General features: G+C 42.1%; 1 protein-coding gene and 1 long non-coding RNA gene across 3 annotated transcripts in view, besides 2 other annotated features; one reads left to right on the forward strand and one right to left on the reverse strand.

Moving 5' to 3' along the window:
• The window catches only part of MCC (MCC regulator of Wnt signaling pathway), a 466,348-nt gene that overhangs the window by 263,133 nt on the left and 175,234 nt on the right, over positions 1 to 27,981 (reverse strand). Inside the window, exon 1 of one of the 2 annotated variants that reach the window (NM_002387.3) lies at positions 9,091 to 9,700. The exons of the other annotated variant lie outside the window; for it this stretch is intronic. Within the exon in view, the coding sequence (NP_002378.2) occupies positions 9,091 to 9,147 (57 nt within the window). The 5' untranslated portion in view covers positions 9,148 to 9,700. Of the gene's footprint in view, positions 1 to 9,090; positions 9,701 to 27,981 lie in introns of those variants that run through there. 2 annotated transcript variants of the gene reach the window in all.
• Positions 9,399 to 9,458: a silencer, noted in NCBI's record as "silent region_16242". NCBI's record gives its function as "represses an Ori minimal core promoter by ATAC-STARR-seq in GM12878 lymphoblastoid cells {active_cell/tissue: GM12878}" and the evidence as "EXISTENCE:reporter gene assay evidence [ECO:0000049][PMID:35858748]".
• LOC124901045 (uncharacterized) overlaps positions 9,622 to 27,981 on the forward strand; it is a 44,906-nt gene continuing 26,546 nt past the window's right edge. Inside the window, exon 1 of the long non-coding RNA XR_007058904.1 lies at positions 9,622 to 9,698. This is a non-coding gene — a long non-coding RNA (uncharacterized LOC124901045). The remainder of the gene's footprint in view (positions 9,699 to 27,981) is intronic.
• Positions 27,640 to 27,840: a silencer, noted in NCBI's record as "peak5422 fragment used in MPRA reporter construct". NCBI's record gives its function as "represses an SCP1 promoter by STARR-seq MPRAs in K562 erythroleukemia cells {active_cell/tissue: K562}" and the evidence as "EXISTENCE:reporter gene assay evidence [ECO:0000049][PMID:32103011]".

The following is a 27,981-nucleotide window of genomic DNA, read 5'->3' on the forward strand; positions in this document are numbered from 1 at the left end:
CTGCCCTCTTCTGAAAATACCTTCTTTAACTGGCTTTCAGAACACAACTTTCCAGGCCTTTTCTTTGCTAATTCCTCCTCTTCCCTACATCTCCCCCTGCCTACCCCGCCCCCCACCCCCACAAAATATGAAAAGAATAAGAAAGTAAAACAAATTCAGGCCTGCGTTGGAAACTCTCCAGGGAGATCCAGATACTCTTCCAGGGCTTATGAAGCCCTAGGTGATCTGGCCAGAACTGTTTTCTTGGACCTCATCTCCTTCCACTCTCCCCCTGCTCACTCTGCTCCCAGTCATTGCTGCCTTGCCACTCCTGAAGCATAGCAAGAGTGCCCTGGGCTCTGCACCTTGGCCCTCACTCTTCCTTTCTGCCTGAAATGATTGTCCCCCATCTTCACATGACTGTGTCCCTCATTTCACAGACTCCCACAGTGAAGTCTTCCCTGATCACTCAAACAGCATCCCTCCCCATTTCATTCCCTGAGAGTTTTTCCTTTACAGCACATATCACCACTGAACATTTGTGTACTGTCTATGTATCTGTGTAGGATGCATAGAACAGGGACTACATCAGTTTTGTTTGTTGCTGTATCCCCAGTCTTACAATAGCATCTGACATGTAGAAGGCACACAATATTTGTTGACTGAATATGTGAACGGTTACAAGATAATAAATTACAGTCAAAATGACCAAACTAAATTCCATCGAATGGGTACTTTCACCAAAATAGAAAAGGAGTTAATCCAACACATCTGTCACAGTAAAATGGCAACTGGGATTTGGTCCAAACAACAACTTCAAAGACTGTTGATATCCTATCTACCACATATTGACTAGGTGCTGGCAATATAGTGATCAACTTTACTCTGTCTCTGCCTTCAAAGACCTCATGGTCTCCCCAAGGAGGCCAACTTGTAAGTATTCTGAACACAGATAAGGGAAGGAACAACTAACCTGGAGACACCGGGGGCCGCTGGGAGAAGAGCAAGAAGACTCTAAGAGTGCTGTGTGTTCTATGGACAAGTTCACACAACCCACAGGAAAACAGGAACAAGGAATTACTCCCACTCTCACCACATAACCAGTCAGAGGCCTCCATTCCTTTTCTAACTGCAAGGCCATCTTTTCCCTAGTTGGCATTCTTCCTTTGACAACTGCTTCAGTATTTCTCACAACCCCAGCTGAAGTTAACTGACATGCGCACACACATTGAGGTTTCATGAAACTTTCTGTTCTCAAATAATCACACACCATAGATTTTGGTTTAAGATGCATTTCCACCTCTGGCCCCATAAGTCCTATGCGCGTTCCAGGCACTGATCAAATCTCATGACAAGGGATCTGCTCAAAATATTCCACCAACCAAAACATCAGGCAGCCTTCACCACACAAATTTCCCAGTTCAATGGGCTTTTTTATTGCTTATTTACAAAGTTAACAAACTCAACATATGGTTTTTGGTATGGCAATTGGAATTAATAGCTGCTAACTACAGAATTTTTTTCCCTAAAAGACTTTCTCAAGGTTTAAGGTCTTTGCTGAATTTAAGAAATATCTTGAAAGATTCATACATGCAAAGTGCTTTACAACCTTATTCACTCCTGTGGCAATGAAAACCCTTGAAAAGGTTTCCTCTTTCCTCTCTGTACCAATTTTGGCTGTTTCTAGTCAACAAGAGAAAAAGGACATTGGCTAGAAAGACAGGGTATCTCTGTAGTTCCAGTAAATATTTACTCTATAAATTGAACTTCTGTTTATCTGTGTAATCCACATTACTTGCTTTTTTCTTTTTTTCACCCCCAAGAGTGAAAGATATCACTGTTGGGAATCCGGGCAGATATATGGGGGAGGAAAGAGGGTTCAAAAAAATAATTACATACAATTTATCTCTGCTATGACATCCTCTCACCAATGTAAATAATCCAAGTCCTAACTAATATCTATCAATTCTTGTTGTCTTCTTTGGCTTGTCTGATTTTATAACCTTGCCAACACAAACCCCTCCTCTCAGAATCTAGAGATGGCTTAAAATATAATTTTCATTTTCTGTAATTTGATTCCCTGGATCAAAAACTAACTTTGAAATCTTCATCAACAACTTCTTTTTTTTGAGACAGAGTCTCGCTCTGTCGCCCAGGCTGGAGTGCTGTGGTGCGATCTTGGCTCACTGCAACCTCCACCTCCTGGGTTCAAGCGATTCTCTGCTCAGCCTCCCGAGTAGCTGGGATTACAAGTGCCCGCCACCATGCCCGGCTAACTTTTGTATTTTTAGTAGAGACAGAGTTTCACCATCTTGGCCAGGCTGGTCTTGAACTCTCGACCTCATGATCCACCTGTCTCAGCCTCCCAAAGTGCTGGGATTACAGGCATGAGCCACCACGCCCAGCCCATCAACAGCTTCTTAATTTTGCTATAAATGCAGGTTTGATCTTCCAATTGCAGCCCCACCTGGGAGAAAGCCTTCCTCATGACTTGCATTGGGTAAATCAGCTAGGCAGCTATTACAACTGCACACTTGACTTTATTTCCTGAGTATCACCATGACATTCCCTACTCTAGATAAGTGTGCCCACTCACACTCAGGGTTCTGGCATCTCCAATTGGTAGCAACTACCTCTAAGGTGCTTCCTTAAGATAAGAAGTCTTGGGACTTAAAAGCTTCCCAATTGGTCAAAGCACTTCCTCAGAATCAAGCTTCTCTCCCTGCTTCCAGGTCTGTGGCCATCCCAGTTCTGATCACCTACCTGGTCTTTGAGTAACTTCTCTGTTCATATCACATGTTCTCCTTTTTCTTGTCTTCCACCTGGTTCCAGCCAAACGAACCATCTCTGTGGCTTGATCTACTGCACCTGATCCACTGCATTTGACTCAGGACCTCAATGTCATGTTCAGCATGTGCTTCTGCAAGACCTGGCTGTCAGCCGCTGCCTTGCCATGCAGCCGTGGCCACTAACTTCACTGGGCCCCTTTGGCTTTCTCCCCAAGCCTCGGCACTCTGCAGCCCCACAGTGATTTGGCCAACTGTAGAAGGAACTTAAAGCCCTGCCTGCAGGGCTGGGAAAGCCCTAATTCTTAAGATATTTAAAGCTTTATTCTTCTCTTTCTGGCACCTCAAGTATTGTAACATCAATCTCTGAGATGTCTCTGAATACACAGGTAGTGGGTCACAGGTTGTAATATTCCACCTTCCTTGCAGTGAAAAAAAATAGAAGTCTCTCTCCCAACCCCCACTGAATGAGGATCACAACTATTCCTTATCGACGAATCTGCTTTTAGGGCTCTGGAAAGTCAATGCTTTGAATTCCTCCACCACTTGGAGGCTATGGCAGTGACTATATCCCTTTACTCTAATCATATCATTTCATTTTTATCAAAATATCTGGGTATTGCATAGGGATTACAATACAAATCAAGTTAAACAGGCTTATTAAAATAGAATACTCCCTCCTTGGAACATGTGATCAAAAGCTGAGGGCAGTAACAGAAGCTAATGAAAGGAATTAATGTACACATGGATTCCTCTGAGTGTGCTCTGGAGAAAGGCTACCTGGGCACAAATCTTGACTCCACCTTTTACAGTCTGTGTAGTTTCGATATGCTTTTCCCCCTTCTTATGCCATAATTTCTAAACCTGTAACATGGGAATAACAGAAGGCACCTCAGAGTTTTAGACAAGCATGTCAATATCTGGGAAGTGCTTAGAAAATGTGATTCAGAGTTATTACAAACCACAAAATGAACAGCTATAAAGCAAAACAAAACAAAAAACTAAAAACCATTGCCAGGCATTGGGAATTAAGAAGTCAGGGTTTTAAGGTAGGTGCGGTGGTTCACGCCTACAATCCCAACACTTTGGGAGGCTGAGGTAGATGGATCACAAGGTCAGGAGCTCAAGACCAGCCTGACCAACACGGTGAAACTCTGTCTCTACTAAAAATACAAAAATTAGCCGGGAGTGGTGGCACGTGCCTGTAATCCCAGCTACTCAGGAGGCTGAGGCAGGAGAATTGCTTGATCCCGGGAGGCAGGTTGCAGTGAGCCGAGATTGCGCCACTGCACTCTAGCCTGGGTAACACAGAGAGGCTCCATCTCAAAAAAAAAAAAAAAAATGAAAAGAAAAAAGAAAGAAGTCAGAGTTTTGGACAAGGCTCTGTCATTTTGTGGCTTCTGGAGTGGGTTTAAATTGGTTGCAAATTCTTTGTGACACCCCTCTTGGAGAGGTGTTTTCTACTTACTTCTTTAACCTTAATCTAGGCTGGGAAAACAGCTGTTTTGACCAACAGAACACACAGAAATGATCCTGTGCCCGTTTCACTTCCATATTTTAAGAGAACAGGCACCTTTACCTCCTCTTTCTCGGAACCCAGCTGCCATGCTGAGAGGAAGCCCAAGCCACATAGGGATGCCCATGTTGAAGAGAATTGAGCTGATCTCCCAATTCACAGGCAACATTAGTTTGCCATTCATATGATTAAGCCATCTTGGAAGTAGATCCTCTTGCTCTAGTCACTGACACAAGTCTTCCCCCTGAACTCTGCCCAAACTGCAAATCCATGAGTAAATAAGATGGTTATTTTCAACCTCTAAATTTTGGAGCAGTTTGTTGGATTCTGCACCAGGTCTTGACCCTGCTCTTCTTACGCTTATGCTAATGCTATGGCTAAGACAGACATTCAACAGCTCATTACAATGAAGTGTGATTTTCTAAAGGCAGAGGACTATAAAGAGGCAAAAAAGGGTGTGTGAATACTAGGTGATCTTTCAGGCCCCTTCCAATGCTGATATTTTATAATTAATTTGATGATGAACAGCACAGCTGCGAGCTGGCCACTTGGAGATAGTCACACAAGATAATCTAGGTAGAGAACAACTTTCTTCTATACAATTCTCCTTCTTAATTAGAGCATCAACGAAGAGGTGGCATTTCAGGAGTTACTCAACACGCAAATGGTGAAAGCATGGAGAGTTGCCTCTATGGCCTAATTCAGAAGTGGAATGATCTGATACAAAATGATTTGAATGAAGATCTAAGAAGAAAGTAAGGGAAATATGATTTCCAGGGGCATCCAATGTTTCCAAGTAAATAGTGATGCAGAATTTTGTCTGTCCATTGTTTAAATAATGTTTAAAAGGCAAAGAGTTTAAGTTGATTGCTTTGTACAAATTCTTTGAGTAAGAATATTTTTTCATCTCCAGAGGTTATGATTGCCATGGGAGAAATTTTTTAAAAATAAATTTTTATTTTTGTACATAAATAGGCAACTGTCTACCAGACAACCAGATCAAGCAGACAACTACTCTGCAAGAATAAGTAAAGTCAAGTTTTACCCTAATATTGTTAAACCTTAAGATATCTTCCTTCCAGATACCTGGGATTATTTAACAAGATTAAACTACATACTGGCCCCACAAATTTAACCAAGACCAATAGAGCTAACTGCTGATCTAAAAGTCACGACCACGAAGAATATGCCAGAGCTGTCCCTTGGAAGATTTCGGGAGAATTTAATGCTGCTTAAAGTGTGGCCATTCGGCTTCTTGATCATGGGGGAGAGAGGTTGAATTCAAACATTTAGTTTTTGCAATGCTTTTGATTTGCCTGATGTTGAAGTCCTTCCTTAATCTCAATTTTAAAAAAAAATCCCTTCAAATCTTTATGACAGGAACAGCTATAGCCAAGAAAAAAGAACAAATCACTAGTTTATCCGTCTACATTTTCCTTTTGTATTTCTGTTGTTACTGCTATGAATTCCTTTGCTTTCAAAAAAGCGTTCAGACTTGACATAAGCCATTTATGGTCAATAAATACATAAAAATATGTTTGAATGTTCATAGAGGCAATTTTACTATCTGCTGTAATCAACTCAGGATCTTAAATGGCTATTGTTCAAACTAAAGATACAAAAGGAACACACTCATGAATTTCCTGTTTTCCATTTTGAAGTACACATGCAAAACACCTCATGCCCAACACCCATCCCTAGGTCTCCTAATTGTGTATCCCTCGCACACAAATCCCTCCTATCTCCCTAGTATCCAAGCATTCCTGGAGTACTAGGTGCAGAGGCCAACACCTCAGTGGTTGACCAAAGCTTGCTGCTGTCACTAACAGGATCAGCAGATGACAACCAGAAATTGATTAAACTCACTCTCTAGTTCAGGATGTTACAGAGTCAGTGTCAACATTACTGTCAAAGAGTCAATGACTTCTGTGGCTAGGGGACCCTTACAGAAGGAGTAAGCCCGCAAGTCAACACCAATGAGAGCCATTTTGTTTATGATACCCAGGATAATGGCAGGTATTTTCAGAGTTCTTCCTACCCCTGAAATGCCTACTAAACATCAGGCTGAAACTGACCCCACAGTGACCTCTAGACAGCATTGAGGCTCCTGGGCAATCAGAGAGATGGCACTAAAGGGGCCCTGAGGGGTTTTATTAGCTCTGCTTCCAGGTGAGGAGGAGGACTCAACCATCAAAAGTGAATGGCAACTTTGCCCTACAAGATATTAAGCGAAAACTAGTGTTTAAGAGAAAAATGACAGGGAATAGAAACACCAAAGATCTAATGTGAGGAATACAAACGAATTGTATTTGAATCTATGGATACTGCTCTGTGGATATTAGAAAAATGGTAAATACTAAAGTTATTGCCCATGTTAAATTGAACTGAGATTTAGGGTCCACAAGGTATGAACCACACACTCTCTTGCCTTACAAATTATCTTTACACATATTCTAATTTAAAATATGTACAAGCCGAGGCAGGCGGATCTCTTTAGGCCAGGAGTTTGAGACCAGCCTGGCCAACATAGCGAAACCTCTTCTCTACTAAAAATATAAAAAAATTAGCTGGGCGTAGTGGCACATGCCTGTAATTCCAGCTACTCGGGAGACTGAGGTAAGAGAATCGCTTGAACCCGGGAGGCAGAGGTTGCAGTGAGCCGAGATTGCACCACTGCACTCCAGCATGGGTGACAGAGTGAGACTCTGTCTCCAAAAAATAAATAAATAAAAATTTAAAAAATTAGTGCAGAAAGTAAAAATAACTACCATTCAACCTGCAGGATAACTAACATTGATTGGAAAGAGGTACAACTAAATCATGGTACCTAAAACTGGCTCGAAAGCAAGCAAAAAATGAATGAGCAGACACCGATGAGAAGAAAAGAACATCTGGTAAAGGATATAGCTGAGGAAGGAACTTATTTCCTTAGGAACAATATTATGTCATATACTGCTCAAATAGTTTTCCAGCCAATGCAGGGACTACAAAGCACTCTCAACTCTTTCATTTGCCTACAAGCTTTATAGGGATTACTTAGGGAGTGGATACAACTAGGCAAAAAAAATGGGTAATTTTATGTGGCACCTGAGTGTCACATTCTCTGCTCACCCAATGTGCTCAAGGACGTGCCAATAGGACTAAAGTCAATTCACATCTCTTCCTTCACTCAGGGTTCTAGCCCCCCCTTCTCCTAAGTCTGCGATTCATTTAAACAAAGGTTACTGGACAGCACTCTGCTGCATAGAAACATCGTGAAGGGCCTGGCAAAGAGTCTCTGCAAAAGAAATGCCTTCAGTTTTGGGGTTTTCAATGACCTTAGAAGATCACCAAAGGCTTCTCCTGAAACAGGGTTAGTGATGGAGCAGGGCCCTGGGTTCTAGTTCAGATTTGAGACCGTTAATTATAAAATTGGCAAAAGTCACTTAAATCCTCATGCCTCCTCCCTCACCTCCCATTTTTAAGTTCTCACTCTCAGCATTTCTTGAGTCTTCTACATCACAGGGGCAACAGCCGTTAAGGATTAGCAAATGCTCTACTTCATTCAGCCAGCACCTCAAAATGCTATTTCAAACCGGAGCAGGAACAGCACAGCAGCAGCATGACACTTAAGAGCACCAGGCAGGGCCCAATAGCATTCACCAGCCCGACGGCAGACCTCCTAGGTTTCCCCCAACCCCATTTAATCCCCCCTCTTTCCCATCACCAGGTGTTCCCTCACACACACACACCCCCGCAGGGGCTCCATCCCTGCATTTTTCCCTTCACCATTGGTAGTCTGACATCACCATTATCTGCCTTCCGGCTGCTTTTACACTGTTTTCCTTTTCTTCCTCTTTCCTCTCTTCAGCCATACTCAAGAAACACGGACTACTTATGCTACTTTTGCCCCCATAAATGGCTCAGTGATGGAACCAAGAGGGAAACCCACAGACACCAAGCCTCTAGCTGTAGACACTAAGCACACAGACTTCCTCTTCTTTTCAGCACCCAGTTCTACGGGCTTCTCATCACTTTTCAGGTATTCAAAGCTTTGAGGGATGTGCCCGAAGCATCCCTAAAATCATGAAAAAAGATGGCTTTGGGCATCTTACCGCTCACACATTTGCATAGTGTTTGATGTAGCTTTAATTTCAAAGCTGGTCTCAAACACTCAAGTGGATAGGTTACAGTGGGAGCCCAGGAATTGCAAATGCGCTTGCCTCAAAGACTCAGGAGTCCAGATCCGGGCAGGAAATAAAGTTCTAAAGCGGCTTTGAAGTGCTTTCTCCCCAGACCCCTCCCCAGCGCGGGTCATTCATCTCAGCCTAGGGAAGAGACCACCTTGCCTGAACGTAGCCAAACGCATCGCACGTGGGAGCCAAGTGGGAGATGAAATAATCCAATGCGTCCCCCTCACCACCACCACCCCCACCAAATTAGTTACCGTCGGCTTAAACTCATCGGGAATGTCCGTGTATTTTACCGATCAGGGAAATAAAAGGGTGTATATAAATTAGTGGAAGCGGGTGGGAAGGAACAAGGGATGCAGACTGTCGTGAGTAAAACGCCTCGCGGCTTGGTGAGAGGTTGTTTCTTTTTTAAGCCACTCATTTCAGACTGAAATATCAAGCCAGTTCAGGTCATTTCCTGAGTAGCACTACAAGTTAAAACAAGATCCAGAAAATCTACTAATCTTCAATTGCGCTGCCTCCAGACTGGGAGCACAGGGGGATAGGGTGTAGGGCTGTGGGGAGGTCGAGGGGAGGGGGATTTGTGGAAAAGCAAACGCCCGAGAAACCCTAGCTCCCGACCTCAGCTGTTTCTTACCTCACTCAGCTCGGCCGAGGAGTCGTTTCCATATTTCATGGCAACTCCGGAATTCATGATGCACTTTTCAGAGCTGGGCTCTCAGTCCCCCAGGTCTCGGAGCTTAAGAGTTGGACTTCACAGGCTCAATATCCACTGCTTGGTCCCTTCTGCCACATTTTAGTCTAGACAGCCATTTTCACCCAGGACAGTTGCGAAGCGCAAACGGAGGATGCAGGCACTCTTAAAAAGAGCAGCCGTGGCTCGCGTTTCACGGACGAGCCATTGCTGCAGGAGGCTCGGTGGCGCGGCGCGCTCGCAGCTGCGGCAGCGGCGGAGCCCGCGCGGGGACCCTCCCGCGCGCACCCAGCGCCCCGTTCCGGGGCAGTGCCACCCTGGGCGCCGCCTCGCCACTCCTACGGTGCCTCGCCGCCCCCCATTACCAGGATGGAGGGCACTTCCCAGCACGAGCCGACACCCTAGAGGGCACCGGCGAGCTCCCGAAAAAACTAGGGCGGTGGGGCGAGGAAGATCCGCGCCTCGGATTCCAGAGAAGGAAAGAAAGCTAGAGGGAGCCGGAGCGGAGCTGCACTTCACGCCGAAGTTTCCCCTTCGAATCGTCTGGAGTTGTAAGTGGTTTCTGATTGAACACAGCTGTCTAGCTGCTGGCCACGGGGTGCGCGGAGGAGGCGGGGCTAGAGGGAGAAAAGGGTGGGGGCGAGTAGCCTGGAGGCCGAGCAGAGGAGACCGTGCTGGGAGAGCAGAGCAGGCATCCTTCCAGTTCTCTGCAATAGTAATTAAGGACCCGAGTCCAGGAGGGGGAGTAGAAACAGGAAAAGCCACCTGAATAATCGTGCAGGAAATTAAAAAAAAAAAAAGAAAAGAAAAAGAAAAAAAACTTCCCTCATAGGAGCCGCTTTCCATGATTTAATAAGGTCAAGACAAACCTAAACACTGTACATCAGACAGCACGGTGCACTTCTCACGGAACATTAAGATTTTACAAGGGTGCAGGGCAGTCATTTTCCCTAATCAGTCTAAAGTCAACGCTACGGGTGTAAATTCAATGTCAAACTCCCTCTGTCTGTCACTGGGGCAGAGTACATTTTCTGCATGTCCATAATGAAGATAGAGGCCCCATCCCTTGAAAGATGTCGATAGGCTCCCCAACCCCCATCCCTTGAAAGATGTCAGATAGGCTCCTCAACCCCCATCCCTTGAAAGATGTCAGATAGGCTCCCCAACCCCCAGACCTTCCTTAATTGAGCGGAGGTAGAGTTGTATTTATGGAGTGTGGAGTATGATTCAGAAAAGATTCAAGGGGCTGTTATACCCAGTACACCCCTGGGATCTGAGCTCCCCTTCAACTTTGAGTTCCCGAGGTAAAACATCCTGTGTCTATTGGGAGAGAGATGAGATGGGGGAAGAGGGGAACTAGGATTTTTCTCTCCACAAACTTAAAGTTCCAATGAATTTGAGATGCACAGAAAAATGTTCTGATGCTTCAAAACAGTAGGTCTGCGAGATTGCTTAAGAGACCTCATCAGTCTCTTTCTACACAATGGGGACAAAATGTCTCCATCCCCAATAACAGAACTTGGCATATCCTGAAGCCTTCTGTGAAAAAGCCATTGTATTGTCAACTTCCATGGTCTTTTTAAAAAATCATGTTTATTTTGCTCTTTAAGAAGGGGCAGAGTGCAACTATTTGCATATAACGTTTTACCCATCCCCCTTCTTGTTGAGTTCATTCATTGCCTGATGGAGGTGCTGCTGGGATTAGGAAGAGTTTGCTGCTCTTTCTAGAGCACTGGGTCCCAAGTCCTTGGGCACTGCCAAACTAGAGCACATTCTGCATGGGGAGGAGATGGGAAGCTACATTATTTAATTTATCTTTTCATTGAAATCTGTTGAAAACTGCATGTTTGAAGCTGGAAATGGTGGTATATACATAACTATGAAGAAGATTCAAGCACTGCCCCTGCCCTGAAGGTGTTTATAGACTTGTAAAACATGAACAGAAATGACAATTCTAGATAGAAAATGATACTTGCCATAAACACAGTACAAATGAGGAGCGACTGCAGTTCAGAGGAGGGAAATACGATTTTGGCTGGACAGGGTCTGGAGAGAAGATTCTGTGAAGGAATCTTAGAAGAGGCAGCATGTGAGTTGACCTGTGAAGAATGGCTGAGCCCAGCAGAGATGGGAAGTAAGGGGAAAGCGTTCCAGGCCACTGTGAGAGAAAGTATGGATGGAGACTGGAATGTGCAGAGCGGGCATGGGGATCACAGGCATTCCATTCTGGAGCATAAGCTGGGTGAGAAAGGGGGGTTGGTGTCAGACAGTGAACAGTTTTAAGTGCCATGTTAAAAAAATGGGCCTTCTCAATAGGCAATGGAGAGCCACTAAAGGTTTTTTAGCATAGAAATAATGGAGATCAGAGCTGTGCTTTTAGATATTCCAGTAGATTTAAATCACACTCATGAGTAACTAATATGAACTCAAATAGGCTAGTGTTGAATGTGATTCTGGTGTTTAAAGATACATATTTTTCATACGACTCTACCCCTAAAACCAAGCAGATGACTTCATCTGGTGTTCAACCAAAAGAAAAGTAATCTGTTCCAAAAGTAGAGGAAAAACTAGCAGTGTTGAACTTACTGAGAAGCAGTGTCTGTAGATTCTACTTTATAGACAATATAAGGCATTTTCAAGGGTAATGTTGATTGTATGAGATTTTCTTCATAAACAATGACTTGAATACTTCAATACTTATACTTCACATAAGATTCAACTCCACCACAATCTGGCAGCAGCAGATGTAGTAGGTTGAAAGTGGGAAATGAACATGCCGATTGTACTATCAAGACAGTTCAGCAAGAGGTTAAAAGGGCCTGAATTAAGAAGGGACGGCTGGCATGGTGGCTCATGCCTGTAATCCCAGCATTTGGGAGGCTGAGGCGGGCAGATCACTTGAGGTCAGGAATTCAAGGTCCAGCCTAGCCAACATGGTAAAACCCTGTCTCTACTAGGATCATGAGGTCAAGAGTTTGAGACCAGGCTGGCCAACATGGTGATACCCTGTCTCTAATAAAAATAGAAAAAATTAGCTGGGCGTGGTGGCAGGTGCCTGTAATCCCAGCTACTCGGGAGGCTGAGAAGGAGAATCGCTTGAACCTGGGAGATGGAGGTTGCAGTAAGCCGAGACCGCACCACCACACTCCAGCCTGGGCAACAGAGTGAGACACCATCTCAAAAAAAAATAATAATAATACTAAACTTAGCCAGGCATGGTGGTGTGCACCATGTAGTCCCAGCTGTAGTCCCAGCTACTCAGGAGGCTGAGGCACGAGAACCACTTGAACCAGGAGGCAGATGTTGCAGTGCGTCAAGATCGTGCCACTGCACTCCACCCTGGGTGACAGAGTGACTCTGTCTCAAAAAAAAAAAAAAAAAAAAAAAAAGAAGGGACAATGGAAATAGGAGGGGACAGGCAGAAAGAAAGTAGATGGAAATTGTGGAGAAAACAGGAGAGCTTAAAAACAACTTGTAGATCTAGAACTTGGCTGATTGGGGTTAAGGTAATGTCCTCAACAAAATTAGGAATTCCAGAGAATAAATAGCTTTGGGAGGAAATTAGGTTTGTGGTATCATGAGTTTGAGGTGGCATCAGGATATTCAAATGGAGATGTTCAGCAGGAGCTTGAAATGGAATTATGGAGATAAGTCAGGGTTGAGCTGGAGATGGAGGTTCGAGGTTATCTCTGTTAGAATAATAAATAAAACCGTGAAATCAGGTAAATTTGCCTAGGAAGAGAGGACAGTGAAAAGAAAAGTGGTCTAAGGATACTACCTTAAGGAAGGCTGTTTTGTTTTGTTTTTATGGAGGCCAAAGAATAAAAGAGGAAATGATACAGAAGGTCAATTAGGGAAATGGGAAGATAACCAGGAGACCTCTGCATCTGGGAGTCTAAGGAAGATGCCAAGGCAGAAGGAGGAGCAGCATCAATATTATATGCTACAGAGGGTAGAGAAGCCTACTGACTGATAAGGTCATTTCAAAGACATTACTGTCCTTCAAAGATAGATTCCTATAAAGCTGAGGAGAAAGAAGGCAGATAAATTACCATAGGGAGTGAGGAGAAACTGGGGGTAGTGACCATGCACAATTCTTTCCATAAATTTGATGGTGACAGGAAAATGGGAGATGAGACTATCTTTTGGAGTAGATAAGCAATGTTGAATAGAGAGTAGAATGGGTGTATTTGTAAGCTGGAGCTAAGGGAAACCAGGAGATGGAGCAAAGTTCCTAAAAAGGGAGAAAAGGGGAGCAGGTGTCAAGGACAAAAACTATGAGATTAGCTTTGGAGTAGGCTTGGATAGGAGGGGATGCTGATACTTCTTCCTAGGAGAACAGAAACAAGAGAACGAGAGAGTGTACACAGTAGGGAAGACAAGAATTCAGAGATATAATAACTAATACTTATTTGACGAGTAAACTAACTTCCTCTTTGTAATTGTGAAGGGGAAACGAAGACTAATGATAATTTGTAATCAGATTCTGACTCAAGGAAAGTTAGACAGAGAAATGCCTGTCAATGCAAGGGAATAAGCAGTTGTGATCCCCACTCCTGAAATTGTTCAAGTATAGGTGGGACATGCTGAACCCCATTGCATGTAAAGAGTAGGGCTTCCAGGCCGGATGCAGTGGCTCACACCTGTAATCCCAGCTCTTTGGGAGGCCAACACAGGCGGATCACGAGGTCACCAGTTCGAGAGCAGCCTGACCAACATGGTGAAACCCCCGTCTCTACTAAAAATACAAAAATTAGCTGGGCGTGGTGGCACACACCTATAATCCCAGATACTCAGGAGGCTGAGGCAGGAGAATCGCTTGAACCTGGGAGGCGGAGGTTGCAGTGAACCGAGCCGAGATCACGCTACTGCACTCCAGCCTGGGCAACAGAGTGAGACTCCGTCTCAAAAAAAAAAAAAAAAAAAAAAAAAAAAAAAAAAAAAAAAAAAAAAAAAAAAAAGAGTAGGGCTTCTTGCATTGAGGGAGTCTAGACTGGTTTTCTTATAATGTAAAATTCCATGAAATGATTTTTGTTGGTGGTAATTTAAATGTCTTACGATTTTTTTTCACCTCATTGTCTTGGATCTCTGCTATCAAGAAAGCTAAGATACTGCTTTGAACAAGAATGCAACTGGGTCAATATTATAAGAACGTTAGAAACATATGGACCAACTCGTCATGTCTTCTCAACACACCAAAGAATAAAGCCCCAAGTAGGTTTCAGGCTATAAGTAAAAGGTTTCACAATTAGAGCTTGCCAGCGTTTACCAAGTGTATAACTCTACATGACTACAAATCCTGTTATACTGTGGCTGCCTTAACATGATCTCTCCAAGAAAGCTTCTCCAAGTCCTCCTGCTTCAGCAGGGATTAAGCTCCTATGGAGAGGTGTGGGCAGGAGGTGGCAGGGGAATTTATCAAGATGAGGGAGCAGGTCTGGGAGAAGGAGGAAAACCTGCTTTGCAATCAGGCAATAGCCTGGTGCTTGGGTTCCTCTCCTTCCTGAGGCCTTGTCTTCTCTAAAGCCCAGTCTCTTCTCATCTGGTCCCTGGGATGAGAAGAGGCAGCAGCAGTCTTGGGAACATTTCTAGGTAAGTGGAAGCTGCCCTGGGCATGACTGGATGAGGCTGTGCACCAACACCATGCTGTGGGCACACTGGCATCACCTTTCTGCTGTTAGAGCAGTCTGGCCTCTCTGTGTATGGCTGCCGACTTCAGTGAATCTCTACATGGCAGAAACTCTATTCTGGGTCTGGTCTGTACCCTCTACTGGTGATAAACATCAGGTTAATTGAAGCAATCTTGAGAAAAAACCCTGAACCTCTAGCACTAGGGAAACTGAAAACCTTGGAATTAGTTGGCCTGGTCCACTGTCTCTACCCCTGGGGTGCCCCAGCGATCCTTGCCTACCCCAGCAGTCCACTGTGCTGAGGAAGCCTGTCCTCCAGCCCACAAGAGTACCCAAACTCTAAAATTGTCCCCTTCTCCATTGACTCTCTCAAGCTAAACAAAACGCTGATACCTCAGATTTTAGGTTGAAAGCAGTCTGGTTAAACTAATTCACACACACGTGAATAATCTTCTCAACCACGCCCAGAGTGTTTACATTGTAAAAGGAGAATGCTTTGAAATAATTCTTAAATTGGTGGGATTTCCTGAAGAAAGTGAATTTTGAGGGCATAGGGGGATTTCAGAACCCTATGGAGACTCAGGAAGTCTCAGTCCTTTGAGTCCTTGAGGATCATAAAAATTAGGGAGCCCTCAAAGTACATACTCCAAAGAATTTCCTGCCCTAAATCTATAAGCTCACCCCACTCTCCCACCGCTGTGACTCCAGAAATGCTCTCCCTATCCAAACTCCTGTGGCCTTCTGATCAATTACCGGACCAGCTCCTCTCTCAGGTCCTGGTTTGGGAGCCTCTCACCAGCCTCAATGGCCTGCCCCATAACGGACATCATTTGCTCAAGGAACTACAACATGAAGAACTCAGGAAGCATTGCAATGAATGATCTGTATCCTCATCTCTATATCCTCAGAGAAAAACATGGACAACCTGCAAGGAATTCTGTAGTTACCTAGCTCATCCCTGCATCCCATTCATATAGATGAGGATATGTAGGGTCGGCGAGTTTGTGGTGTTCATTCAGAAAAAGTAAAGCACCCACTGTGTGCTAGATATTGTCCTGCATGTGCCCTGGGATTCAGTGGTGTATGGGATGGAAAAGATCCCTGCTTTCACAGAGCTAGCACTCTTGATGGGAAATGATTAATAAGTACCTTTAAAGAGATAGTTACAGGCCGGGCATGGTGGCTCACGCCTGTAATCCCAGCACTTTGGGAGGCCAAGGCGGGTGGGTCACCCGAGGTCGGGAGTTCAAGACCAGCCTGACCAACATGGAGAAACCCCATCTCTACTAAAAATACAAAATTAGCCAGGTGTGGTGGTGCATGCCTGTAATCCCAGCTACTTGGGAGGCTGAGGGAGGAGAATCGCTTGAACACAGGAGGCAGAGGTTGCGGCGAGCCGAGATCACGCCATTGCACCCCAGCCTGGGCAACAAGAGCAAAACTCCATCTCAAACAAAAGAAAAAAAAAAAGATAGTTATAGGGCAACAAGAGTGAAATTCCATCTCAAAGAAAAGAAAAAAAGATAGTTGTAGTTTGTGTTGGATGCTATAAAGGAATTAAACAGGAGCTATGATAGGGGAGAGTAGGCCCCTTAAGTGAACAGGTCAGACAAGGCCTCTATGCAGAGATGACATTTCAGCATGTAGGTAAAGAAGGAGCCAACTAGGCAAAAAGTGAGGGAAGGGTGGACAGGCAGAGGGAACAGTAAGGGCAAAAAGCCTAGGGAAACAGGGCTTCACCTTTTTAATACATTTTAATAAACTTCAAGTTTTTATTTAATTGAAATTTAAGCTCATTATAATAGTTTACTAGCAGTGATGGAACATGATGAAAAAGATCATGTCAGAGCCAAATCGTGCAGAATATGTATAGACTACACATTTCACTGTGTGCATGAAGATGCCACAGGAAGACTTTCTGCAGGGCAAAGACATGATCCAGTTTACATTTTTAAAAGGTAAATCTATGTCTTCACAAGCTTTACCACTAGGTAACCTAAAAAGTAAAAACCAAGGACAGTTCCTCCCTCATACAAGTATCGCTGCTAATAAATTAAGAATTGACAAAATATCCCTGTTTTGCAACCCTTAATGAATTAATAGATTTAAGTATTAGCATAATGGCTACGAACATTACAAAAGGACATAGAGCCAGACACATGATTTCTGATGGAAGAAAACATTACCACCTACAGAGCCACCTTAGCAGTTTTTACATGAAGAAATGTTACATTAACCACAAAAAAAACCCTATATAACTCTACTAGACAAAACAATGTGGTTTCTTCATCAAATAAAATGCAAAGGGAAAAAGGGAAGTAAGCAAATGAGAAACCACCAAAAGAAAAACTCTGCATATTAAAAGAGACTCAAAGACATATCGACCAATGGCAATATGTGGACTTTGTTGAGATCCTGATTCAAACAAAGTAACTATAAAAAATTATGAATTGTGAAAATTACATATTATACAGTATTCAGAAATATACTTTTTGGATATTTCATGATGTTAAGAAATTATTAATATTTTTAGATGTGTTAATGGTCTTGTGGTTACATTTAAAGAAAAAGAATCCTGTATTTTAGAGATATATTAAAATATTTAGGGGTAAAATGACATGATGTCTGGGATTCATGTCAAAGTACTAGAGGAGGTGGGAAGACAGGGTTATTGATGAAACAAACTGTAATGATGAATTGATAACTACTATAGCTCAGTGATAGGTATGTGGGAATTCATGCTACTCGCTGTCCAAGTGTATGTGTACAAATCTTCAAAATCAACAAGTTAAATCAAGATAATTATTCCTTCTGTGTAAAAACTGGGTTGAAGTGCCATAAAAGTAAGGCAAGGAAACCTGTTAAAGGCTATTGCAGTGGTCCAGGTAAGAGGATGTTTGTGGCTTAGAACTTGGTGAAATCAATGGAGATGGTAAGAAATGGACTTGAGATGTATTTTTTAGGTAAAACTGACCAGGATTCAGTGAATGATTGGATACAGGTAATGAGAGAAAGATAGGAATCAAGGATGACTACCAGTTTTTGGGTTGGTGTGGGGAAGGACCAAGTTTCGCAGAGGAAATCAAGTGTTCCATGTTGGATGTGTTAAATCTGAGATTCCTATTTGACATCTAAGGGGATGTCAATAGCAGTTGCATATATGCATCTTGGGTTCATGAGAGACTCCAGAAAATGGTGATGATTTGGAACTTATTGGCATATAGATTATAGTTGATGTTGAAGGTCATGAGAACATATGAGGTCACCAAGGGAGAGAGTGAGTAATAATGCAGTCCCAGGACTTATCCTTGAGATCCTTAATTCTTTCAGGTTGGATAGAAATTACCTTCCACCAAAACCAACTTTAATTGCAGCTTACAGATTTCTGTAAATAGAATCATAAGAAAGAACATCCAGAGAAGAACAGAAAAACTGAAAACTGTATCATGTTTTAAGAAGGACAGTGGTAACCTGTGTGGGATGCTGCTGAGAGTTTAAGAAAGCTGACAATGAAGAAGTGTCATCTGGCTTTGGAGATTACTAGGGACCTTGAGAGAATCAATGTCATTAAGTGGTGGTGATAGAAATTAGACGAGTGTGGATTGAATGGTGTGTAGGAAGTGAAAACACTGAGAGAGCATATGGAGATAACTTCTTTTTTTTGAGACAGAGTCTCACTCTGTCGCCCAGGCAATGGCGCAATCTCAGCTCACTGCAACCTCCACCTCCCAGGTTCAAGTGATTCCCCTGCCTCAGCCTCCCAAGTAGCTGGGATTACAGTCGCCAGCCACTATGCCCAGCTAATTTGTTTGTATTTTTAGTAGAGACGGGGTTTCACCATGTTGGCCAGGCTGGTCTCGAACTCCTGACTTCAGGTGATCCACCCGCCTCGGCCTCCCAAAGTGCTAGGTTTTCAGGCTTGAGCCACCACGCTAGCCTGGAGGTAACTTTTGGGAAGTATGTTGCCCAAAGCCTTACTACTAGTAAACTATGAGAATGAGATCTTGAACCAAAGTCTCTACTTGTACTTCTGAGCTTTTCTTCCTTTACTATGTCCCTTCAGTCAAGCTAGTAGAAGCACCTCGGCAAGGATTAGAGAATCTGGGCTGTTAGCATGGTTGACCCCTCCTAAAACTGCTCACTGAAGTCTGTCCCATCATGGCCAGGTCTTCACCTTATTGTTCATGAAGTCAGCTACACTGCTTTAGACCCAGTGACTTACCACTAAAAAATAGTTGGGATGCAGTAGGTAATTTGGTTAGTCTATGTTTAAAACTGGCTAAGAAAAGAACTACTTGAAGACTATTTCCAGATTACATCTCACATACAGAAAAAACAAACAAAAACCCAACCTTCTCCAACTGCAAATATAACTCAAGCAAAGAAAGCACCCCCGTGGTGTTTGTCTGTCTCATTAGTTACATTTACAGACTGCTTCACACCCAGCCTAGGCATCCTAATAACCCACAGTCATTTGGCATCAACATCTCCGACATTATCAGTGGGGATTTGATAATGATTTGAGATTCACTACTTTATGCAAGCATCATGTGATGCATCAAATACCCCTTCACTGTCTGATTAGATATTTTCGAGCCTAAAACTTAGTATCTGTGTCATTGTCAATATTCAGAGTATCTTTCAAAAATTTTTGCTCATTTGTTCTCCAAATTTCTTTAAACTATATCACATTTTCTATGGAAAGGAAAATTAATCAGTGGAGATTAGAGATTTGGAAATCCAAGGAAGTTAAAAAAAAAAGTTTTGAGTCCTCCCAGGAGTACCTGCATATGGTCAATTTCCTGGAGAGGAAAACAAAAAAAGTATTTTAAATAGATGCATAAAAATAGATCTAGTAAAATTTGGAGAACATGCTTAAATTAAATGAATTCCAAATGCCTGCCACTGTTATTTCTGGAGCTGTTTGGGCTAAAACAGCATCATTCCATTACTGTCTCTTAGCTAGAATGTTACGGCAGCTACCCAAAAGGGGCAAAAAAAAAAATGAGTATGATATGATGCCTCATATACTTAATAATAAAGGAGTCAGTTAACCTGGTATTGTATCAAGCTGAGGGGTGAAGGAAGGTCTGAGGCACAGGCTGGGAAAGCCACCTTCCTAGCCTTTGAGTTCATGAAGTGCCCATGGATGGACTGCTATGGTAGGGATTTCCTACAGGGACAGGCTGAGGCATGAAGAATGGGCTCCTGCCTACTTTGATAAGACAGCTTCCCTCTCCCAGCCATCCTCAGTTGTTTTGCATGATTATCACATGAGCTCAAACTTCCCCTTCTAAGCAAATCCTTTCAAATTGGCATCTCCAGCTACTCTTACCTGTGCTCCAGTTAATATTCTTTATGTGACAACCAGACACTCTTGCTAAGTTCTGTCATCACTATAAAACCATGTTTAAAGCAGAATTTGTCACCTTCCACCAAAAACCAACTTTAATTGCAGCTTACAAATTTGTGTAAATGGAATCATAGTTTCCAGTCTAATAAGTTTGGAGTCATTTTCAGTTCCCCTTCCTTCATCTTCTCTTCCAGTCATGTAGTCCTTTCGTCCCCACTTGCTCTCCACTTTTACCGCTTAGCAGCACCTTTCCCAGGCCTTGTCACCTTACATTTTGGTTACTATAGCTCAATGATATGACTCCAAAGCATTCCATATACTCTAGCCCAGCGATTTTTCTCCAAAGTACAGTTTTCCGTAATGTCATTCTACAAGTTATATTTTATGTTTTATTAATGGATAATTCACATATCATAAAATTTACCTTTTAACATAATTTAGTGGTTTTTAGTATATTCACAGAGTTGTGCAGCCATCACCACTATCTTATTTAGAACATTTTCATCACCCCCAAACGAAATTCATACTCATTAGCAGTCACTCTGTATGTATCCCTCCTCCAGCCCTGGCAAACACAAGTCTACGTTGTGTCTCTGGATTTACCTATTCTGGACACACCATATAAACAGAGTAAGACAATATGTGGCTCTTTGTATACGGCTTCTTTCACTTAGCCTGTTTTCAAGTTTTATCCATGTTGTATATGTATTAATGGTTCATTCCTTTTTATTGCCAAATAATATTCCATTATATGGGTTTACCATATTTTGTTTATCCGTTCATCAATTGATGAATATTTTTGTTGTTTCCATTTTTCAACTATTATGAATAATGTTGCTATGAACATTTGTGAGCAAGTTTTTAATATGGACATATGTTTTCAATTCTCTCGGGTATATACCTAAGAATGGAATTGCTTGGTAATAGGGCAATTTTATCTTTAAGATTTTAAGGAACTACCAAATTACTATAATTTCCAAGATGGCTGCACCATTTCACATTCCCACTAGCCATGTATGAGGGTTTCAATTTCTCTACATCTTTGCCAACACTTACTGTCTTTATTCTTGCTATGTGGCTTTGATTTGCATTACCCTAAAGATTGATAATGTTGAACATCTTTTCATGTGTTTGTAGGCCATTTGTATATCTTCTCTGGAGAAATGTTTATTCAAATCCTTTGCCCATTTTTAAATTGGGTTGTCTTTTTATTGTTTAATTTTAAGATTTCTTTATATACTCTGGAGATTAGACCTTTAGCAGATATAAATTTGCAAATATTCTCTCCCATTTTGTGAGCTGTCTTTTCCCTTTCTTGGTAGAGCCCTTTGAAACATCAAAATTTTAATTTAATGAAGTCCAATTTATCTATTTTTTCTTTTATTGCTTATGCTTTTGGTGCCATATTTAATAAATGATTGCCTAATGCAAGGTCACAAAGATTTACTCCTATTGTTTTCCTCTAATAATTTTTTTAGTTTTAGCCCTTATGTTGAGGTCAATGATCCATTTTTTGTTAACTTATTATTGAAAAAAAAAGTATTCTTTCCTCCCACTGAATAATTTTTGTACCCTTGTCAAAAACCAATTAGCCATAAATATAAAGATTTATTTCTGGACTCTCAATTCTATTCCACTTATTTGTATGTCCATCCTTATGCTAATACTACACATCTTGGTTATTGGAGTTTCATACAAAGATTTAAAATCAGAACGTGTGTTGAGTCCTCCAACTTTGTTCTTCTTCAGGGTTGCTTGGGCTCTTCTGAGTCCCTTGCATTTCAAAGAATTTTAGGATCAGCTTGTTATTGTGCCAAGTAGACAGATGAAATTTTGATAGGCGTGCACGGAGTCTGTAGATCAGTTTGGGAATATCGACATTTTAATAATATTAGGTCTTCCAATCCATGAACATAGGTGTCTTTTCGTTTACTTAAGTTTGCTTTGATTCTTTTCAATGGCATTTTGTAGTTTTCCATGTATAAATCTTGTACTTCTCTTGTTAAATTTATTCCTAAGTATTTTATTCTTTTTTAATCTATTGTAAATGAAATGTTTTTCTTAATTACATTTTTAGATTGTTTATGAATGTACAGAATTGCAATTGATTTTTGCACATTGATCTTGTATCTTGCAAGCTTGCTGAACTCATTTATTAGTTCTAACCTTTTGGTGTATTTCTTGGAATTTTCTATATACAAGATAATGTCATCTGCAAATAGAGATTTTTTTACTTCTTCTTTTACAATCTGGATGTTTTTATTTCTTTTTCTTATTTAGCTGTCCTAGCTAGCATCTCTAGTATAATGCTGAATAGAAATGGAAAGAGCAGACAACTTTGTCTTGTGCTGCTCTTGGCAGGGTGGAGGGGAGGCATTCAGTCTTTTACCATTAAAAATGATGTTAGCTGTAGGTTTTTTGTAGATTCCCCTTTTTCTTCAATAAATTTTTATCCCTGACCACTTGAATGGAAAACACTTCTTCCATTTAAATGCAAGTCAAGGTGTCTTCTTACTATCTTTCCCAAGCTCATTCCCACATTAATGTATCTTCCTGTTGCTCTTTCTCCTGCGTGGAGTGTCAGCTCCATTTGCCTGTCTAAATCCTTTTTTTTTTTTTCTAAAGACAGAGTGTTGCTCTGTCACCTAGGCTGGAGTGCAGTGGCACGATCATGGCCCACTGCAGCCTCAACTTTTCAGGCTCAAGCAATCCTCCCACCTGAGCCTCCCCAATAGCTGAGACTACAGACGTGCACCACCATGCCTAGCTAATTTTTTATATATATTGTAGAGACAAGGTCTTGCAATGTTGCCCAGGGTGGTGCCTGTCTAAATCTTAACAATTCTTTGGTGCCTGTCTAAATCTTAACAACTTTTTAACTCTTGTCCTGACATTAACCTTTCTGTTCTCTGAAGTCCTTCAGCACTCTCACCTTGATAGCTCCATTAAAAGGTGAGCTGTATGATGCTCAGTTCAATTAATTAAAGAGAAAAACAGGGCTGGTATGACTGTATCAGTATTAGAAAATATTAGGAAACAATTCTTACTGAGTTGGTACATGACTACTGCCCCAAACCAGAGAGTGCCCACTCCCTCCTCAGGTTGCCCCATCCCCATCTCTAAAAACCTCCAGACCTTTCCACAGTTTAGCAGCCATAAGACTAACACTTTGGGCTAGGCATGGTGGCTCATGCCAATAATCCCACCACTTTGGGAGGCTAAGGCAGGAGGATTGCTTGAGCCCAGGAGTTCCAGACCAGTCTGGGCAACATAGGGAGACCTTTGTCTCTACAGAAAATCTAACAAAAATTATCCAGGCCTGGTCCCAGCTACTCAGGACGCTGAAGTGGGAGGATTGCTTGAGTCCAAGGCCACCTTGAGCCATGATTTTGCCATGGTACTCCAGCCTGGGAGACAGAGCAAGACCCTAAGACCCTGCAAAAAAAAAGAAAGAAAGAAAGAGAGAGACAGAAAAAAAGAGAGAAAGATAAAGGAAAAGAAGGAAAGGAAGGAAGGAAGGAAGGAAAAGAAAGAGAGGGACTAACATTTTGATTTTGCACAACCAAGGTTTCTAAAATCTTCCTCCATTGCTATGGCTAGTCCCCATTGACAAGTATTTTGAATATTATTCCTGGAGAAAAGAGGCCATATTTTTAAAATGAAGCCAGAGTCAAATAATAAATCTCTTTATCAAAGATACTCAATTACATTGTCCAATTAAACTATCATCATGCTCTTACAGAATTTCCTAACAGAATTTGAATCAACATCCCCCAACTCCTTTACCACTCTCTGAATATGAAACCCATTTACTGTTATACATTCTTTTTTAAATTTCAGTAGCTTTAGAGGTACAAGTGATTTTTGGTTACATCGATAAACTGTATAATGTGGAGTCTGGACTTTTTAGTGTAGCCATCACTCAAATAGTGTACACTGTAGCCAATAGGTAATTTTTTACCCCGTGTTCTTCTCCCACCCTCCCCCACTGAGTCTCCCATGTCCACTCTGCATGCCTCTGCATACCCATGCATGCAGCACTTTGCTGGCATCCCCACAGCTTATCTCCCATTTATAAGTGAGAATATGTGGTATTTGGCTTTCTATTCCCAGGTTACTTCCCTTAGGATAATAGACTCCAGTTCCATCCAAGTTGCTGCAAAGACAGTATTTCATTGTTTTTTTCCAATGGCTCAGTAGTATTCCATTATATCTACACATATATACACACACACCATGTTTTCTTTACCCACTCATCTGTTGATGCGCACTTAGGTTTATTCCATATCTTCATGATTGTGAATTGTGCTGTGACAAACATATGAATGCAGGTGTCTTATTTATATAATGACTTCTTTTTCTTTGAGTAGATATCCAGTATCTGGGTATTGCTGTATCAAATGGTCTGTTACACATTCTTAACAATACATTTCATTTCTTTCCTTTCTTTCTTTCCTTTCACCTTCTTTCTTTCATTCCTTCTTCCTCCCTCCCTCTCGCCCTTCCCCCCTTCCTTTCTTCCTTCCTTCTTTCCTTCCTTCCTTCCTTCTTCCCTCCCTCCCTCCCTCTCTTCCTCTCTTTCTTCTGTGTTTCATACCATTATCAATATTTTAGAATTTCATATTCTAGAACTAACCAGGCTCTGAAATACTTGGCTTATTTTCCCAGTTATAAGGAATACACGATTTGAAGGCACCAGCAGCCTACTCTTGGCCCTTCAGAGCCTGTTATGTGGAAGCCTGCTATGGTTTGAATGAGGGTGTCCCCTTCACAATTCATATTGAAACTTAATCCCCAATGGAACAGCGTTAAGAGGTGTGGCCTTTGGGAAGGCTCCACTCTCATAAATGAGATTAATACCCTTACAAAAGGGCTTGAGGTTGAATGGAGTGCTCTTTTGCTCTTCTGCTTTTTTCACCATATGAGGATACAGTGTTCCTCCCCTCCAGAGGAGATAGCAACAGGGGTGCCAACTTGGAAGCAGAGAGCAGCCCTTACCAGCTACCAATCCTTCTAGCGCCTTGCTTTTGAACTTCCCAGCCTCCAGAACGCTAAGAAATAAAGTTCTGTTCTTTAAAAATCACCTAGTCTGTGGTATCCTGTTACAGCAGCACAAATGAATGAAGATAAAGCCTATGACATATGAGAAAGCTAGCCCAAACCTTTGTCCAAACTAATGAAAACTACTTATTTTTTTCATATCTAAATTATTAAGTTTTTGTTCTGTTTCTTCACATAGTTCATATCTCACCTTTTTCATTTGAAATTATTTTTCAAACACCTTCCACTACTGTCACTAGTGATAGAGAGGGAAATGTGTCACATGGGAAATAAAAGCTAACCCTGAAATGCAAACAGCTACTATTTGGGAGAATTTGGGAATTTGAAAAAACACAAAATGGATAACAATATTGGACTAATTTATTTTATCTTTCTTAAGGTGGGAACCTCCTTCAAAAGTGGACATTTCTCTGGATTCTTGAGACAACTGCATTAAATTAATGCTTTTTCATATTCCATCCTTCCTTCATTAAAAAAATATTTATCACCCACTATGTGCCAAGTATCTTGTTGGGTACTAGAGATATAATAGCAATTAAAAAGAAGTCCACCAGCTGGGCACAGTGGCTCATGCCTGTAAATCTCAGTACTTTGAGAGACAGAGAAGTGAGGATCACTTGGATGCAGGAGTTCATGGTTACAGTGAGCTGTGATCAAGCCACTGCACTTCAGTCTGGGTGACAGAGCAAGACCTGTCTCTTAAAAATTAAAGAGGTACACCATCATTGCCTTCAGTTAAACTTAGAGTCAGTTTGTGGTAGAATGCAAAGATGGCCCCATACTTTACCCATGCCTGTAAACATGTCCTTTGCCTATAACTTTGTAGTACCCTCCCACTCTGACTCTGGACTTGTCCATGTGACTAACTTTGGCCAACAGAATAAGATGGAATTAATGGTATGCCCGTGTCTCCTCCTTAGGAGTCTGTCATGTTTCCTCTTACATATCTGCCGCTAACGTGAGTGCATGTCTAGGCCAGCCTTCTGGAGGATAAGAGACAGGTTCAGCAGTTGCTCTAGTCACCCAAACCAAGGTCTGGCCAGATCAGCCATCAAGCCAGCTTATCCTCAGATATATGAGTGAGTCCAGGCTTTACAGTCAAGAACAGCAGCTGCCCTGCCGACCTGCAACTGACCCCAAATACATGAGCAATAAACACTTATTGGTGAATGTCACTGATATAGTCTTTTAAAATTACACAACATTGTTGTGGCAACAGATAACTGACACATTGCTTAATCATTAAAAAAAAATAATAGCTGGCCGGGCATGGTGGCTCACGCCTGTAATCCCAGCATTTTGGGAGGCTGAGGCGGGTGGATCACTGAAGTCAGGAGTTCAAGACCAGCTTGGGCAACATGGTAAAACCCCGTCTCTACTAAAAATACAAAAATTAGGCTGGGCGCGGTGGCTGATGCCTATAATCCCAGCACTTTGGGAGGCTGAGGCGGGCAGATCACAAGGTCAGGAGTTAGAGAACAGCCTGGCCAATATGGTGAAACGTTGTCTCTACTAAAAATACAAAAATTAGCTGGGTGTGATGGTGGGCACCTGTAATCCCAGCTACTCAGGAGGCTGAGGCAGGAGAATCGCTTGAAACCGGGCGGCAGAGTTTGCAGTGAGCCGAGGTCGCGCCACTGCACTCCAGCCTGGCTGACAGAGCGAGACTCCATCTCAAAAAAACAAACAAACAAAAAATTAGCTGGGTGTGGTAGCATACACCTGTGGTCCCAGCTACTGGGGAGGCTGAGGCAGGAGAATCACTTGAACCTGGGAGGCAGAGGTTGCAGTGAGCTGAGATCACACCACTGCACTCTAGTCTGGGCAACAAAGCAGAACTCTGTCTGAAAAAAAAAAACCTATAAAACTGCAATGTCTTCTCTGAAGGACAGGGAATACAGAAATATGAATACATATAACAGAGTTCACATAGACTGGTGGGGAGTGAGGTTAAGGAACATTTCTTTAAGGAAGAGATGTCTGACCTAAGATCTGGAAGACATGCAGAAGTTAACCAGGTGAAGGGTAGGGGAAAGAGGTGTTCAAGTCACAGAAACTTCAAATACAAAGGCCCTGTAGGGAAGGAGTACAGATGCTGAGTTACTTAGAAGGTCAATGCAGCTGGAGAATGGAGATAAAGAAGAGAATGCAAAGAAATGAGGCTGGGATGATAGGCAGTGACTAGAACAAATGAAAGGCTTTGTAGATGATGTGAAGGGTTTAAGACTTGATCCAAAGAACTATGAGAACTACTGAATGGTTTTAAGATGGATACAAGTTATTCTTCTCACATGCTTACTTTGCTATGAAATGGGTAGGGAGTTTCTCATATATATACCTTGAAATTTGCCCATAAAATTCATAATCTAGTCCTGAAAAAAATATTTATTTATCCATCTATTTAGTCAATGAACATTTATTGAGAGGTTTCAGTTGGGAATAAATAAATGATTGAGAGATTAAATGAATGAATGAGCCTGTGTCAAGCAATCTGATTGGCACTGGAGAGACACAAACACAAGATTCCTCCTCTTGATAAGCTCACAGTCTAGTGGGGAAGAGAGACACACAAAAAACAGACTTCCTTGTTAACCCAGAGAAATATGAGCAATGTGCTTTAAAAGTGTAGAGAAGGGGCCTGGCATGGTGACTCATGCCTGTAATCCCAGCACTTTGGGAGGCCGAGGCAGGTGAATCATGAGGTCAGGAGTTCATGACCAGCCTGGCCAACATGGTGAAACCCCGTCTCTACTAAAAATACCAAAAAATTAGCTGGGTGTGGTGGTGCGC

The sequence above is a fragment of the Homo sapiens genome, chromosome 5 (genome assembly GCF_000001405.40).
Source record: "Homo sapiens chromosome 5, GRCh38.p14 Primary Assembly".
NCBI lineage: Eukaryota > Metazoa > Chordata > Mammalia > Primates > Hominidae > Homo > Homo sapiens.